This window comes from Homo sapiens, chromosome 11 (genome assembly GCF_000001405.40).
Source record: "Homo sapiens chromosome 11, GRCh38.p14 Primary Assembly".
Taxonomy (NCBI): domain Eukaryota; kingdom Metazoa; phylum Chordata; class Mammalia; order Primates; family Hominidae; genus Homo; species Homo sapiens.
Genome location: NC_000011.10, coordinates 46,147,866 through 46,166,352, shown reverse-complemented (window position 1 = coordinate 46,166,352; position 18,487 = coordinate 46,147,866).

Below are 18,487 nucleotides of genomic sequence, written 5' to 3'. Positions count from 1 at the left end.
CTCCCTCTCTCTGAACCCTGACACTCACTTCATTTCTGAGCCTTCAGACTAAGTAAGATGACTTAGTTTGAATGGTGGCTTGCAATCTTTCTCCTCCCGAGTAGATACTGAAGGGTAGGCCCAAATGAACACTGCAGTCCTGCTGTCCTCAAGGGCCTCTGTTTCTAGTGTGCTGTGGCCTTCTCCAAAAGTCAGCACTGTGACTTGCTCACACTCTGTGCTTGATGTCTACTGGTCCAGTGAATGAATGCAAGTGTGAGAAGGTGGCCCCGAGATGATGAGCCCAGGGTTCAAGCACTCTTCAGTCAGGCCACTTGGCCACATCGTCAATGGCTGGACATAATGTTCCAAACCGGCAGTATTATATTACTTCCCTTTAGCTCATTTAAAGCCAACAGGCAGTTCTGAGAAGCATGTCAGACTAGAAACTTGGACTGCCTGTTTTATGAGGGGAAAAACTATCACTAAGAGACCAAAGAGAGAAATTGAAAAAGGGCTGAAACACACCTCATGGGGGTCACTATTTTAAAATGCTTGACTTTTTAGCTAGCGTCACTTATCCCTTAAATGCTTGGAGCTCCGAGGGGAGAAAATTTTGCAGAATTTGCAGACAGGTTCCCTGCCCTCAATAAGCTTATAATTTATGCCATGTGCTTGATTTAGCTCTTCGCTTTCACTTTGTCTCCCATTCTTTATCGAGCCTTTCTATTTCCCACATTCTTGTTTATTTCATTGCATGATGATGAACCTTTGTGGAGCGCCAATAATGTGCATGACAATGTGAGAAACTTGGAATTAGGTCCCGGTGGGCTTATAATACAAGATTGACTCTAATACCAGCTTGTGTTTTTCCACCTATCTGCTGCTTTTTGTTTTTTTCTGTGGGGTTCAGTGCCTTCACAGGAAGTAGCTACCATTCACCTGCTCCATTCAAATCCCCTTCTAAGCACTATGATCTTCCTAAACCTACATTTGAAACTTTGGCCTCTTGTCTTCCCTTTGTGAGGTGTTTCAGGACAAGAATCCATTCTTCACAGATTGGACAAAGTGTTTTGATCCCAGTGGAAAGCCGACAGAAACCCTGGTCTTCTATCCTCTCCTGGGCAACAGAGCCCAGAGGGTATCTTCAGGGGTTCCCAAAAAGGCACTGTGGGAGCACAGGCAGAAGATGATTCCAGTGGCTGAAGAGGCCAAAACTCTGGCCCCCATCTTGCCTGCAGTGAAGGGCGGCCGTGCTCATCCCAGCAGTTAATCCTCTGATCGCTGGTTATGGATAAATAAACTTGGGCCACCTGATCCCTCGCAGCGCTCCTGGGGAGAAGCAGTGAGGGGTTGCTCTGTCCCCAGGATGGTTCTGTCATGGGACTGGTTTCTTGGGGATGATTAGCACTCCTCTGCTACAGCCCCAAATTAAACCCAGCCGGGCTTATGTTATGACACCCTGCAATATTTGTTGACACTGTTTTCCTGCTCAAATTGCCATCCTGTCTTCGTGAGGTGAAGGGGAGGAGGGAGAGTGAGGTGAGGAAGCAGTAAGAGGAACTCAGGTCACCTCTCATCCTCCCACGGGGACCAGAGCCAGCCTCCTCCCCACTGCGCCTTTTCTGATGTTTTGTCCAATCTCATTGGTGTGTCAAGCCTCCCAGGGTTCCAGCCCCTTCCTCTAGGGAGGTGATTTTTGCAGTGAATCTGCTTGTCCTGACTCCCCGCTTTTAGCACTCTCTTAATTCCAGCCATTGTTTTACTTCTAAATGCACATTAAATAGCCCATCTTTCTCTTTGATTCTTTTCACCTTGCTGGTGTTTGTAGATGGAATGATCATCCTTGATTTATGAGTTAGCCAAACTGTGCGTAATTATTTCTTCATCTTCACTCATGGATCCTTCCATCCCTTAATCACTCTTGTTTTTCCGTCTGCTGCCACTTTCTGTACATTTGTGTGGTAACGAGGCAGCTAGTGCCGTGTCCAGTTCCTGTTCCAGGGACTCAGTGTCTGATGAGGGCAGTTAATGTGCCCAGGACCTGCCCCTCCACATCATGAATCAGCTTGTCCCTGAGTTTTTCAGCACTTAACACCTTCATCATTTCAGCCATTGTGTCTATTGAAAGTGCGTGGACCACAAAATACCGCGGTTCATTCCTCTGTCTCTCTCTCTGTCTGTCTGTCTCTCCCTTTCTCTCTGTCTCCCTGTCTCTAGTGTTTGTGGTGGAAGGATTGTTCTTGATCTATGAATGTATTTATTCCTGGTGACTTCTGAATAAAGCACTGCACACACTTCAATGTAGATGTTTTCCTGGATCTCCCGTTGTGTGGGGTAATTTAGGAAGAGGCATTGTGGGGGTGGAGGAGGGGTAATGTGTCTAGTTTCAGGCAGCCTGGGTTCAAATCCCAGCCTCTTCACTGCCCTTTGCTAGCTGAGTGACCTTGGACAAGTCTCTTAACCTCCAGAAACCTCACTTTCCATATCCATCAAATAAAAATCTGCTTGCTGGAATGGAAAGTTGCTATAAGGATGACATGAAACAGCTTGCATGAGCGCGGCATAGCGACAGGCACACGGCAGGGCTCAATGCGTATGGGTTTCCTTCAGTTCATGTACTCGGCTGCTTTGTTGGGTGGTTCTCAGACTTTTGGAATTTGTAGACTACGAAAATCTCAAAATACATTTCGAGGAGTCCAAGTTTGCCAACTTTTTATTTTGCCAAGTAAGAACAGTAAAAAAAAAAAAACAATAATAACACAACTAATGTCAGTCTATTTTCACTACATTTCCCACAAAAGAAACAAAAAATAAAGAGGACATAATTTGAGTTAAAAATGAAATGCATTTATTTAGCTTTACAGAAAACTATATTGTTCTGACTTGGCTTATCTCACCAGGAATGGATGGAAACTTGGTTCACAGATCAGCATTTGGGGATCGTTGCTCTCACTGACAACTCAAACAGGCTTTCCAGATGAGCGTGCCCTCGCTCTAGACGCCTGGCCCTGAGGTGGGAGGGGTAGGTAGGAGCATGAGGGGGCGGCACATTTTTCGGTGTTAAGTTTAAAGTTTAAAGATCTGCCAGGTGTGATTGCTGGGTCCGGGGGTCTTGGGACTGCTAGAAATAAGAGTAGATGTGAGAAGTTGATGTGTACAACGTAGAGTAAGTGTAGAGAGCAGCAGCAGAGTATTTCATGTCCGAGTGTCAGGTAAACAAAAAGTTCTATGCATTTTAGTTTTTAAAAGGATGCAAGTGAACAATCAAAACTTGCCACACATCACAGGAATTCGAGACCAGCCTGGGCAACCAAGTGAGACGCGGTCTCTACAAAAAATTAGCCCAGTAGGGTGGCTCATGCCTGTAGATCCAGCTACATGAGAAGCTGCAGTGGGAGCCTGGGTTGAGCCCAGGAGATGGAGGCTGCAGTGAGCCATGATGACATCACTGTACCCCAGCATGGGCAACCGAGTGAGATCCTGTCTCCAGAAAACCCCCAAACAAACCCCAGAACCAAAAACCAAAGCAAAACTTGCCACATCTGTAGCTGAAATGTGTTTAGGCTCATGATGGTTTGTTTCACTCTGACCGTGTTTTGAATTCCTTGTGACTTTTCAGACACACACACACACAGGTATACTTTGGGGCTGCAATATTCCAGATCTGGTCTAAGTGTAGAGGTGAATTGTTTTTTGAGAAGTTTGAGCCAACTCTGCTCAGTTGGTTTCACTTAGGGAAGGGCAGAAAAATCCTTGTTCCTTCCTAGGAGAAAATAAATTTACATACATATGTATTTATAGGTCTATACATGTACTTTTTTTTTTTTTTTGAGACAGGGTCTTGCTCTGTTGCCTAGGCTGAAGTGCAGTGGTGCAATCACAGCTCACTGCAACCTCCATCTCCCAGGTTCAAGCAATTCTCCTGCCTCAGCCTCTCGAGTAGCTGGGATGACATGGGCCCACCACCACGCTGGGCTAATTTTTGTATTTCTAGCAGAGACGGCGTTTCATCATGTTGTCCAGGCTGGTCTTGAACTCCTGACCTCAAGTGATCTGCCCCTCTCGTCCTCGTCCTTATTTTTGTTTATTTATGTATCTTTAGAGAGAGGGGCTCACTCTGTCACCCAGGCTGGAGTGCAGTGGTGCAGTCATAGCTCACTGTAGCCTCAACCTCCTGGGCTCAAGCAATCCTCCCACCTCAGCCTCCCAAATAGCTGGGACTACAGGTGTGAGCTACTGCACCCAGCCCACATATATATTTTATATATGTGTATATATATATATATTATATATATATTTTATATATGTATTATATATTTTTTATATAATATATATTATATATATTAAATATATATATTATATATATATTATATATATTAAATATATATATAATATATATTATATATATATTATATATATTAAATATATATATTATATATATTATATATATTAAATATATATATTATATATATTAAATATATATATTATATATATATTTTATATATATATATATAGGCTGGTACAATCTTGGCTCACTGCAACCTCTGCCTCCTGGGTTCAAGCAATTCTCAAGCCTCAGCCTCTCGAGAAGCTGGGAACACCACACCCAGCTAATTTTTGTATTTTTAGTAGAGATGGGGTTTCACCATGTTGCCCAAGCTGGTCTCAAACTCCTGGCCTCAAGTGATCTGCCTGTCTCAGCCTCCCAAAGTGCGGGGATTATAGGCCTGAGCCACCACACCCAGCCTAAATAAGTTTATTATACACACACATATACACATTTGGGATCCTTTAATGTTGAGGTCTTTTAACATCTGGTTCACTCATACTTGGGTAGGGAACCTCGGCCAGGTAGAAGATCTTAGCAGCAACTATTGAGCTGCAGGGACTGAAGTCTAGAAGCAGGCGTGGAGCAAGCCTCTCCCTCTCTGTGTCCACGTGGGAGCACACTGCTCCTGTGCTGGAGCTGCTTCTGAGTCCCAAGTACTGCTGACTTTGCAGAAGAAAAATCACAGCACTTACTGTGTGCGTGCCGAGTGCTCTGAGAAAAGCCTCACATATATCATCTTGTTTAACCTTTATACAACCCTCTGAGCTAAGCATCATTAGAACGCCCATTTTTACAGATGAGAAAACCGAGGCTTAAGAGCCTTAGGCCAAGTTGTCCAAAACGGCATAGAGCTGATGAGCTGATGAGCTTCTGGCTCATGTTTCAGCTACTAGGATGTCTAGCTAAATCTTAGGCCTGACATGAGTGGGAAGTAGACTTCAACTAACCCTTCCGACACAGCACTTGGAAAAGGAGACGCCCCTCTCCCCATTTACTTTTATTTACTTTTTTAACTCTCTGGAGCACCCCTAAAACATGGCGTTTCTCCCTCTTCTTTAAATAGACAACCTAGGAAACTTTCTGGAGAAAAATTTAGCAATATTTATCAAAAGCCTTAAAATATTTATGCTTTTTGACCCAGAAATTGCACTGCTAGGAATTTATCCCATAACTCATATGTTTCAGGTCTCCCCAACCCATGGGTACAAAGGGCTCAAGTGTTACCTCCGCAGAGGAGCCCTGACCACCCCAGCTACAGTGCTTCTCCCCTCCCTGTTTTTGTCTTTCTTCAAAGTACTTGCCTCCAGGTGGAATGATAGGCTGTAACTGTCATAGAAGGTGAGTCCCCTGATAGCAGGGATTTTTCTGTTTTGCCCCTGCTTTATGTCCAGTGACTAAAATAGCATCCGGCACATTGTAAGCCGGCAACAAAGATTCATCAAAGAACGAATGAGCTTATGTTACATAAATACCTCAACTCCCAAGACTCTGAACCCTCATCGGCTTGGCTGGCAGCAGGTCTAGTCTTTTACAAATTTCCCGCGCTCTCACACTGCCAAGGTTCCTCTAGAAGTTTCCGTAAGTTTGTCCCTGCCATTGCTCTGCACTGCTGCCAGCAGGTGGAGGGAGACATTCAGTCATGTCCCCTGAGACCAGATTCCACATCCCCTGGTCTCCCTGGCAGCCTCCAAGGAGCCATTCCTGCCATGCCACCTGCACCTGCTGGCATCTGCAGCCACAAGTGCTGCTGCCTCTTTGAGCTATCATGTTGTTGCTGGTCATGCCAGGAGCTTAGCTCACCCCTTGCAGAGGCAGTTTCAGTCCACAAGTTGCCTTGGTTTCAACCTCTGCCCGTTTGTACAGGCAGTGAGGACCACCCCCTCCCAACTTTTGTAAAGTTCTGCCAGGGAGAGTTCTGTAACAAAGTTGCCTGGATCTCAACATGCTACAGCCTTTTCCATGCACCCCAACAAGTAGAGATGTCCACAAGGCACCTCCAGACTCAGGGCTGCTGGGTAGAGGGGGGTACACCAGGTGTGTCTGGAATCTGCCTTATCTCCCAGCCTCAAGCCCTGCACCTGGGTCTGATTCACCCTGAGGGAGCTTGTCTCTTCTTTAGCAGTGAGTTGAGGAGTGGGGAGTGGCACATATCAGAATCAGACTCTCTGGGTGGGGAAGGGTGGGGAAGAGAGACAGAAGAACCCCACCCCCACTTCCTTGAAAACACCTGCCAAGGGTGAGTGCATTCCTCCCGGCTTACTCCTCTGTCCTGAGGGTTCTTCTTTTGCAATCTGGACTCGGTTTTGTTGTTGTTGCTGCTTTCTTTTAATCAGCTTTATTGAGCTGTAATTTACACACAATAAAATTCACCCATTTTAACTGTACAGTTCAAAGAGTTTTAACAAATGTATAAATCCATTTAACCACTACTACTTCAAGATACAGAACATTCCCATCTTCCCCAAAAGTTCCCTTAAGCCCCTTTGTGCTCAGTCTCCCCGACCAACCTCACCCCATCCCAGGCATTGATATGTTTTCTGTCTCAATAGATTAGTTTTACCAGTTCTAGAATTTTCGATAAATGACATCATATTGAATGTTCTCTTTCATGTCTGGCTGTTTTTCACTTAGCATATTTTTTGAGATTCTTCTATGTTGTTGCACGTATTGATAGTTCATTCCTTTTCATTGCTGAGTAGTACTCTATTGCCTGGATATACTGAAATTTGTTCACCCATTCTCCTGTTGATGGACACTTGAGTGGTTCCAGTTTTGGGGCTGTCATAAATAAAGCTGCTATGAATATTCGTGTACTCATGTTTTGGTGGACATGTTTTTTTTTTTTTTTGCTTTGAATAAATATCTGAGGCTTGAATTGCCAATTATATGGAAAGTGTACATATTTAACTTTATAGTAACCGACAAACTGTTTTCCAAAGTGGCTTTACCATTTTGCATTCCTGCCAGCAATGTATGAGCATTTGTTTGCTCTACATCCTCACCAGTATTTGGTATGGTCAGCTAAAACCTGTTTTTATATACAGACCTTCAAAGTCTCATCTTAGATGCAAATAGATTGATAAAGAGGGCGATATCACCCCATTTCACTCACCCCATGAATCCCAGTCTTTTTCTTTTTTAAAAAATTTGGAACAGAGTCTTGCTCTGTTACCCAGGCTGGAGTGCAGTGGTGCGATCTTGGCTCACTGCAATCTCCACCTCCCAGGTTCAAGTGATTCTTGTGCCTCAACCTCCGGAGTAGCTAGGACTGCAGGCATGTGCCACCTCAGCTAATTTTTGAATTTTTAGTAGAGACGGGGTTTCATCATGTTGGCCAGGCTGATCTCGAACTCCTGACCTCAAGTGATCCTCCCGCCTCGGTTTCCCAAAGTGCTGGGATTACAGACGTGAGCCACCATGCCCGGCCCACGAATCCCAGTCTTAAATGCAAATGGACCTGCTAGACAGGGGGAGGTTTGGTCTAAATCCTATCATCAGCCTTGTCTAAGTTCCAGTTTCTGCCCATTTATAGCTCAAATGAAATCATCAGATAGATACATCCATTTATATGTTCTCAAGGATGTTCCTTGAAGCCTTGTCTAGAAACAGTGAAAAAAAACCTAGAAATGATTCAAGTGTCAAAAACTAATAGACTGGTGATTCTAGGACTAGGGTAGGTAATATACAAGATAAACCTGTAGCATCTTGTAGTGCCAGAAGGTAAGGAAGGCACAAACGAACATCCAATTCACAGTAATAGGAGTATGTCAAAGGAATGCAGGAACCAAATTGAAGAGCTCCCAGTGGCTAAAACTAAACCAGTTTGAATAAACAAATAAAGTAGTATTAGTAGATAGTATTGTTATTAATGACTGAACAGATAAATAATTTGGGGAGAAGAGACAAATCTCCCATGCTGTAGAAGTTAAAATAATGTTTGTAGTTACCCTGTCCTCAAGAAGGGAAGCAAAATTCCCCACCCTTTACGTGTGGGCCACACATAGTGACTTTTCTTCCAAAGCAGTCAGTGTGGAAAGGAAATAAGAATAGTCACTTAGAAGAATCGCTTGAACCCTGGAGGCGGAGGTTACAGTGAGCCGAGATCGCGCCACTGCACTCCAGCCTGGGTGACAAGAGTGAGACTCGGTCTCAAAAAAAAAAGAAGAGTCACTTTACAGTGGAGAAATGTGCAAACACTACCCTAGCCAGGTGATCAAGGTTAACATCAATCGTGATAAGTCATGTTGATACTGTGGGCCCTTTGATATGATGTAATGAAAATGGCAGTTCACCTCTGTAGGTCTTCCTCCTAAAACATACATCTCCAATCTAATCATGAGAAAAACATCAGACAAAGATGAGAAACATTCTACAAAATACATAATGAGTGCTCCTCAAAACTGTCAAGGTTATCAAAAACAAGGAAAGTCTGAGAAACTGTCCCAGCCAAGGGGGGCATAAGGAGACATGAAAACTAAATGTAAAATGTTCCTGGAAGGGATCTTGGAACAGAAAAAGGACAGCAGGTTAAAACTTAGGAAATTTGACAACAACCCTTCATGCTAAAAACTCTCAATAAATTAGGTATTGATGGGACATATCTCAAAATAATAAGAGCTATCTATGACAATCCCACAGCCAATATCATACTGAATGGGCAAAAACTGGAAGCATTTCCTTTGAAAACTGGCACAAGACAGGGATGCCCTCTCTCACCACTCCTATTCAACACAGTGTTGGAAGTTCTGGCCAGGGTAATTAGGCAGGAGAAGGAAATAAAGGGTATTCAATTAGGAAAAGAGGAAGTCAAATTGTCCCTGTTTGCAGACGACATGATTGTATATCTAGAAAACCCCATTGTCTCAGCCCAAAATCTCCTTAAGCTGATAAGCAACTTCAGCAAAGTCTCAGGATACAAAATCAACGTACAAAAATCACAAGCATTCTTATACACCAACAACAGACAGAGAGCCAAATCATGAGTGAACTCCCATTCACAATTGCTTCAAAGAGAATAAAATACCTAGGAATCCAACTTACAAGGGATGTGAAGGACCTCTTCAAGGAGAACTACAAACCACTGCTCAACGAAATAAAAGAGGATACAAACAAATGGAAGAACATTCCATGCTCATGGGTAGGAAGAATCAATATCGTGAAAATGGCCATACTGCCCAAGGTAATTTACAGATTCAATGCCATCCCCATCAAGCTACCAATGACTTTCTTCACAGAATTGGAAAAAACTACTTTAAAGTTCATATGGAACCAAAAAAGAGCCTGCATTGCCAAGTCAGTCCTGAGCCAAAAGAACAAAGCTGGAGGCATCACACTACCTGACTTCAAACTATACTACAAGGCTACGGTAACCAAAACAGCATGGTACTGGTACCAAAACAGAGATATAGATCAATGGAACAGAACAGAGCCCTCAGAAATAACACCGCATATCTACAACTATCTGATCTTTGACAAACCTGAGAAAAACAAGCAATGGGGAAAGGATTCCCTATTTAATAAATGGTGCTGGGAAAACTGGCTAGCCATATGTAGAAAGCTGAAACTGGATCCCTTCCTTACACCTTATACAAAAATTAATTCAAGATGGATTAAAGACTTAAACGTTAGACCTAAAACCATAAAAATCCTAGAAGAAAACCTAGGCATTACCATTCAGGACATAGGCATGGGCAAGGACTTCATGTCTAAAACACCAAAAGCAATTGGCAACAAAAGCCAAAATTGACAAATGGGAACTAATTAAACTAAAGAGCTTCTGCACAGCGAAAGAAACCACCATCAGAGTGAACAGGCAGCCTACAAAATGGGAGAAAATTTTCGCAAACTACTCATCTGACAAAGGGCTAATATCCAGAATCTACAATGAACTCAAACAAATTTATAAGAAAAAAACAAACAACCCCATCAAAAAGTGGGCAAAGGACATGAACAGACACTTCTGAAAAGAAGACATTTATGCAGCCAAAAAACACATGAAAAAATGCTCACCATCACTGGCCATCAGAGAAATGCAAATCAAAACCACAATGAGATACCATCTCACACCAGTTAGAATGGCGATCATTAAAAAGTCAGGAAACAACAGGTGCTGGAGAGGATGTGGAGAAATAGGAACACTTTTACATTGTTGGTGGGACTGTAAACTAGTTCAACCATTGTGGAAGTCAGTGTGGCGATTCCTCAGGGATCTAGAACTAGAAATACCATTCGACCCAGCCATCCCATTACTGGGTATATACCCAAAGGACTATAAATCATGCTGCTATAAAGACACATGCACACGTATGTTTATTGCAGCATTATTCACAATAGCAAAGACTTGGAACCAACCCAAATGTCCAACAATGATAGACTGGATTAAGAAAATGTGGCACATATACACCACGGAATACTATGCAGCCATAAAAAATGATGAGTTCATGTCCTTTGTAGGGACATGGATGAAATTGGAAATCATCATTCTCAGTAAACTATCACAAGAACAAAAACTCAAACACTGCATATTCTCACTCATAGGTGGGAATTGAACAATGAGAACACATGGACACAGGAAGGGGAACATCACACTCTGGGGACTGTTGTGGGGTGGGGGGAGCGGGGAGGGATAGCACTGGGAGATATACCTAATGCTAGATGTCGAGTTAGTGGGTGCAGTGCACCAGCATGGCACATGTATACATATGTAACTAACCTGCACATTGTGCACATGTACCCTAAAACTTAAAGTATAATAATAAAAAAAAACTTAGGAAATTTGAATAATTATGGGCTTTAGTTAATAACAATGTATCAATATAGGTTCATTGATTATAATAAATGTACCATGCTAATGTAGGATGTTAATAATAGAGGAAACTGGGTATGAGGTCTATAGGAACTCTCTGTAGTATATTCATATTTTTCTGTAAATCTAAAACTTAATAAATAAAAAGTTTATTTAACCCCCTCTCCCAATAGTGGACTTCCTAAATAAATTACAGAAGCTTCATTAAATGGAGTATACTACAGCCTTTAAAGTGGATGCAATAGATATTTATATGTGCATCAGAAAATATTATTGGCTGGCCTTGGTGGCCCACACCTGTAATCCCAGCACTTTGGGAGGCTGAGGTGGGTGGATCACTTGAGGTCAGGAGTTCGAGACCAGCCTGGCCAACGTGGTGAAACCCTGTCTCTACTAAAAATATAATAATGAGCTGGGCATGGTGGCGGGCACCTGTAATCCCAGCTACTCGGGAGGCTGAAACAGGAGAATCGTTCCAATGCAGGAGGCAGAGGTTGCAGTGAGCTGAGATCGCACTATTGCACTCCAGCCTAGGTGACAAGAGTTAAACTCAGTCTCAAAAAAAAAAAAAAATTCTTAAAACATTGTTAAAGTGAAAAAAGTCAGTAACAGAATAATACATATGCCACAATCTGATTTTTAAAATACATGTTCATATGGGAAAAGTATAGAAGGCCAAATCAACATGCTAAGATAAATTGTCTATAGGTGAGATAATTTCCAACTGTTTAATTTATTTTTCTTTTTACTTACCTCTATTCTCTTTTTTCTCTCTCTCTCTCTCTCTTTTTTTTTTTTTAGACAGGGCTCATTCTATTGCCCAGGCTGGATGGAGTGCAGTGGTGTGATCACAGCTCACTGCAGTCTTAACCTCCCGGGCTCAAGTGATCCTCCCACCTCAGCCTCCTGAGTAGCTGGGACTACAGGCATGTGCCAACATACCCAGCTATTTTCGTATCTTTTTTTAGAGATGGGGTCTCGTCATGTTGCCCAGACTGGTCTCAAACTCTGGGGCTCAAGCAATCAGTCCGCCTGCCTTGGCCTCCAAAAGTGCTGGGATTATAGGCATGAGCCACCGTGCCCAGCCTATTTTATCATTTTTAAATGATGGTTCACCTCTATGACAAAGCCTCAGCCAACATCATACTGAATAGGCAAAAGCTGAAAGCATTCCCTTTGAGAACTAGAACTAGGCAAGGATGCCCACTCATACCACTCTTATTCAATATAGTACTGGAAGTCCTAGCCAGACCAATCAGGCAAGAGAAAGACATAAAGAGCATCCAAATTGGAAAAGAAAAAGTCAAACTATCTCTCTTCACTGATGATATGATTCTCTACCTAGAGAACCCTAAAGACTCTGCCAAAAGGCTCCTGGAACTGATAAATGACTTCAGTAAAGTTTCAGGATACAAATCAATGTACAAAAATCAGTAGCATTTCTATACACCAGTAATGTTCAAGCTGAGAGCCAAAACAAGAATACAATCCCATTTTCAACAGCCACACACACACACACACACACACACACACGCAAACCTACGAATACATCTAACAAAGGAGGTGAAAGAGCTCTACAAGGAGAACTACAAAATACTGCTGAAAGAAATAATAGATGACACAAACAAATGGACAAACATTCATGCTCATAGATTGAAAGAATCAATATTGTTAAAATGGCCAGACTGCCCAAAGCAATCTACAGATTCAGCACTATTCCTACCAAACTACCAATGTCATTTTTCACAGAATTAGAACAAACTATTCTAAAATTCATATGGAACCAAAAAAGAGCCTGAATAGCCAAAGCAATTATAAGCAAGAAGAACAAAGCCAAAGGTATCACATTTCCTGGCTTCAAACTATACTACAGGGCTACAGTAACCAAAACAGCATGGTACTGGTACAAAAACAGACACATAGACCAATGGAACAGAATAGAAAACCCAGAAATAAGGCTGCACACCTACAGTCATCTGATCTTTGACAAAGTCGACAAAAATAAGCAATGAGGAAAGGACTCCCTATTCAATAAATGGTGCTGGAATAGCTGGTTAGCCATATGCAGAAGAATGAAACTGGACCCCTACCTTTCATCACATACACAAATTAACTCAAGATGGATTAAAGATTTAAATATAAGTCCTCAATCTATAAGAATACTAGAAGAAATCCTAGGAAACACCACTGAGGACATTGGACTTGGGAAAGAATTTCTAAGTCTTCAAAAACAATTGCAACAAAACCAAAAATTGATAATTGGGGCCTAATTAAACCAAAGATCTTCTGCATGGCAAAAGAAACTATCAACAGAGTGAAAAGACAACCTACAGAATGGGAGAAAATATTCACAAACTATGCATCTGGCAAAGGTCTAATATTCAGAATCTGTAAGGAACTTAGAACAGTTCACAAGCAAAAGCCAAATAAACCCATTAAAAAAGTGGACGAAGTACATAAACAGACCCTTCTCAAAAGAAGACATACAAGTGGCCAAGAAACATGAAAAAAATGCCCAGCATCGCTAATCATCAGAGAAATGCAAATCAAAACCACGGTGAGATACCATCTCACACCAGTCAGAATCACTATTATTAAAAAGTCAAGGCCGGGTGCGGTGGCTCACGCCTGTAATCCCAGCACTTTGGGAGGCTGAGGCGGGTGGATCACGAGGTCAGGAGATCGAGACCATCCTGGCTAACATGGCTAAACCCCGTCTCTACTAAAAATACAAAAAATTAGCCAGGCGTGGTGGCAGGCGCCTGTAGTCCCAGCTACTCAGGAGGCTGAGGCAGGAGAATGGCGTGAACCCGGGAGGCACAGCTTGCAGTGAGCCGAGATCGTGCCACTGTACTCCAGCCTGGGCAACAGAGCTAGACTCCATCTCAAAAAAAAAAAAAAAAAAAGTCAAAAAACAACAGAAGCTGGTGAGGCTGTGGAGTAAAGGGAGTGCTTATACATGGTTGGTGGGAATGTAAATTAGTGCAGCCCCTGTGGAAAGCAGTTTGGAGATTTCTCAAAGCACTTAAAACAGAACTACCAGTCAATCTAGCCATCCCATCACTGGGTATATATCCAAAAGAAAATAAATAATTTTAACAAAAAGATACACGCACTTGTATGTCTATAGCAGCACTATTCACAATAGCAAAAACATGGACTCAACCTACGTGCCCATCAACAGTGGACTGGATAAAGAAAATGTGGTACATATATACCATGGAATACTACACAGCCATAAAAAGAATGAAATTATGTCTTTGGCAACAACATGGATGCAGCTACAGGCCATTATCCTAAATGAATTAATGGAGGAACAGAAAACCAAATACTGCACATTCTCACTTATAAGTGGGAGCTAAACATTGGGTACTCATGGACATAAAGATGGCAATGATTGACACTGGGGACTCCTATGGAGGGATGGAGGGGGACAAGAATTGAAAAACTGTTGGGTACTATGCTCACTACCTGGGTGATGTGATCAATCGTACCTCAAACCTCAGCATCATGCAATACACTCATATAACAAACCTGTGCATGTACCCTCTGAATCTAAAATAAAAGTTGAAATTATAAAATAAATAAATATAAACAAATAAAAAGTAAATGAAATAAATGATGGCTCAGTGTATCATGCATGATGTGTTAGGCAACATTTTCAGGTGACCGCCAATGAGCCTTGCCTAATCAATTACCTTCCCTTGAGTGTGTGGGGCATGTGCATATGAGGACTGTCACTCCTTTGATGGGCGACATTATATGACAAATGTGAGAGGATTTTTGCAGATGTAATTCAAGTCCCTTGCCTGAGATTGGAGAAGATGCCGCGGGTCTTGAAGAAGCATGCTGCCATGAGTCTACAGCTACAAAAAGATGAATTCTGCCAACAACTGCCTGAGACCATAGCCCTAGCCAATATCTGCATTGCAGGTTTGTGAAACTCACTGAGGACCCACCTAAGCCATGCCCAGACGTCTGCCCTAAGGAAACAGCAAGATAATAAATAGATGTTGTTTAAGCCACAACATTTGTGATAATGTGTCACGCAGCAGTAGAAAACTAGTACAGATAATGAAAAATAATAATAAAGGAAGGGAAAGTCAACTTAGGACAAACAGAATGAGATCATTTCATTTCCAAACACATAAAAATGCTTTTCTTATCCAGCACCGTGGGCCTGTTAGGTGGACTTCTGTCATTCAAAGTATTCATGGCTCCTGGCTCCAAAGTTTTTCAAACTACCCAGGTAAAGTTGTTTGTATTCTATGCCAATGGATTAATCAAACCAAATGCGGCTAGGCGCGGTGGCTCATGCCTGTAATTCCAGCACTTTGGGAGGCTGAGGCCGGTGAATCACCTGAGGTCATGAGTTTGTGACCAGTCTGGCCAACATGGCAAAACACCGTCTCTACTAAAAATATAAAAATTAGCCAGGTGTGGTGGCAGGCACCTGTAATCCCAGCTACTTGGGAGGCTGAGGCAGGAGAATTGCTTGAATGCAGGAGGTGGAGGTTGCAGTGAGCCGAGATCGTGCCACTGCACTCCAGCCTGGGAGACAGAATGAGACTCTGTCTCAAAAAAAAAAAAAAAAAAAAAATCAAACCAAATGCTATGAATAAAAGTACAAATACTCTTAAATTATATGTAGCTGTCATGCAGTAAACTCAAGAAAATATGAAATAACTCAGCTGTAAAGGAAGAAGACAGAGAAAGCTATTAGAAAGCCTGTTCTTTTTCCCCTCCAAAATGGAAAAATCTCTTTTTAAAAAATAATACATGATCATTATTTTAAAACTCTAACAATACAGACTGAATGAAAGAACACCGTTCTAGGAAAGTCAATTTTAAGATTAGGAAATCATTGAGAGGGTGAACTATTTTATGTATGTGAAAGAGGGAAAGGAAATGGCTTGAGATCCTGCACAGGGGCTGGGCCCTGAGTCCTAGGTGGCCCCCATAAAAGCTGCCATCACTGTGCTGCGGTCATCATTATTTAACATTTGCACAAGCCCTTTTTAATGTCCCAAACACCTTCTTGTTTGTTAAGGCCTGGAGGGAAGAGATGGAGTTTGTAAGAGGAATGAAGTGAGAAGCCGGTTGCCCCCAGAAGAAGGAGCCCACGCCAAACTCTTGCTGGGGCTGGCCAACCTCCATCTGGGCTTCCCACACCCATCCCCCAACCTCCCTGAACTGTCACCTAGGCAGGCAGTGTGGCTACCTAGGCTGGGAGGGGTGCCCTTCTAGGAGTCATCAAACTGCGCCTTTGAAACCTCAGAGTATCATTTTGACTTTAAAAGGAGCAGAAAAAGAAGGGCTCTCTGAAGTGTGATTGAAGAATTAAGGATAAAGCTCTCGATCCAAAAATATTTCAATGACTACCTTTCACTGTGCTCTAATTCCACCATTAAAGAGTCATCTGGGGGGGATTTTGAAGGCTTTTCTGTTTTTAAAAATCCCTTAATAAATGTAAACATCCCTAGGAGATGTAATAGGGAGTTTGACACCTCAGAAAGGATTAGATACAACCCGTTGATAGTAAGAGGATGGCTGAAGGGTGGAAAGAAAGCGAGATAAAGGGCCAATTTCCGGGGAGAGGTGGTGGAGGGACAGCCTTTGCCTCTCTCACTGCCTTGTGTAAATAGGAGGCATGTGCGTGGCCAGGCGCCCCTCCTGCCTCCACTTCAGACATCGACCAGGGATTGTGATGCGCTTGCCCACCGGCCTCGAGCATCCTTCTTCACACAGCTCCCCAGGGTGCCACTAGCGGTCAGCTGGGGCAGGCTGTGGGGATGAAGCTGCCCTGTCTTGCAGACCAGGTCCTGGGCAACGCTTGGCTACCTGGAATGGGCACTTGAAGCAGTCATTTCAAGATGCAGGGCAATAATTCAGATTTTGTGGTGCAAGATCCAGTGTTATGATAATGTTAGCAACCACCTAAGTATGGTTTATAACACAACATCATCTCATTTAATTCTCACACCTGCCACCCCCCACCCATGAATACATCACCAATCCCTGGGCTATGTCTGAAGTGGAGGCAGGAGGGGTCCCTCCACCACCTCTCCCAGGAAATTGGCCCTTTATCTCGCTTTCTTTCCACCCTTCAGCCACCCTCTTACTATCAATACTTTCATGAAACAGACAAATGAGAAAAGACTCAGCTAGCTCATGGTGGTACCAGGATCTCCATCGGAGTCTTTTAACACCAAACTCGTATTCTTTCCTGACCAGCCCCACTCCCCTCCCCGCCAGATCCTGACCCAGGCACAGTGTTGCAGATCTAATGCAGGTAATAGTGGAAGAATAGCACATATGTAAATAGGTAAACCTTCCTAGTATGGTTCCCACCCCATCACCCATCACTGAGACACCCTGGCTAACTAACCTCACTGCCAGTAATTCCTATGTTCCAGAATCCCACGGACACCAAAAAACAAAAACTTAAAAAATTCATAGATAACTTTTTGTTTTAAAAATGTAAATCATTCCAAAGTACACGGAGTAAAGGTAAGTCTTCCTTCACCCATCCTTAGCACTCCAAACCACTTTCTAGGTTAATCATTGTTAACAGTTTGCTAGGCATCCTTCCAGACAGTTTTCTATGCATTTATATGCATATAAATGTAAATATTTGGGCCAGGCACGGCGGCTCACACCTGTAATCCCAGCACTTTGGGAGCCTGAGGTGGTTGCATAACCTGAGGTCAGGAGTTCGAGACCAGCCTGGCCAACATAGTGAAACCTCATCTCTACTAAAAATAGAAAAATTAGCTGGGCGTGGTGGTGCCTGCCTGTAGTCCCCCCTACTTGGGAGGCTGAGGCAGGGGAATTGCTTGAACCTGGGAGGCAGAGGTTGCAGTGAACTGAGATTGCTTCACTGCACTCCAGCCTGAGTGACAGAGTGAGACTCTGTCTAAAAATATGTATATATATATTTATATTTATTTATATCTATATTTATTATATATAAAATATTAATTATATATTTATTTAATATATAATATTTAATAATATGCAGGTTTTACAATGTATATCAACAGGACTTTCCTACACACATTGGTCTGCCACTTTTTCACTTCACGCTGTCTTGGGGACCTTTACATTTAAGTGTATATAAATTTGCATCATTCTATTAAACTACTTCCCCAGTCTTCAGTTATATGTACATAGCCTTCTTTCTATCAAAGGACATTTATGTTATTAGCAGTGTTTCAGTTTTACAAACAATGCTGCAGTGAACAGTATTGTAATTGCAATCTCTTGCGCATGAGCCAATATTTCTCTAGGATAAATAAACTAGAAGAGAAATTGCTGGGTTAAAGTGTATATGTATCAGTTCTAGTAGCTGGGAAATTAAAAAAGAGAAA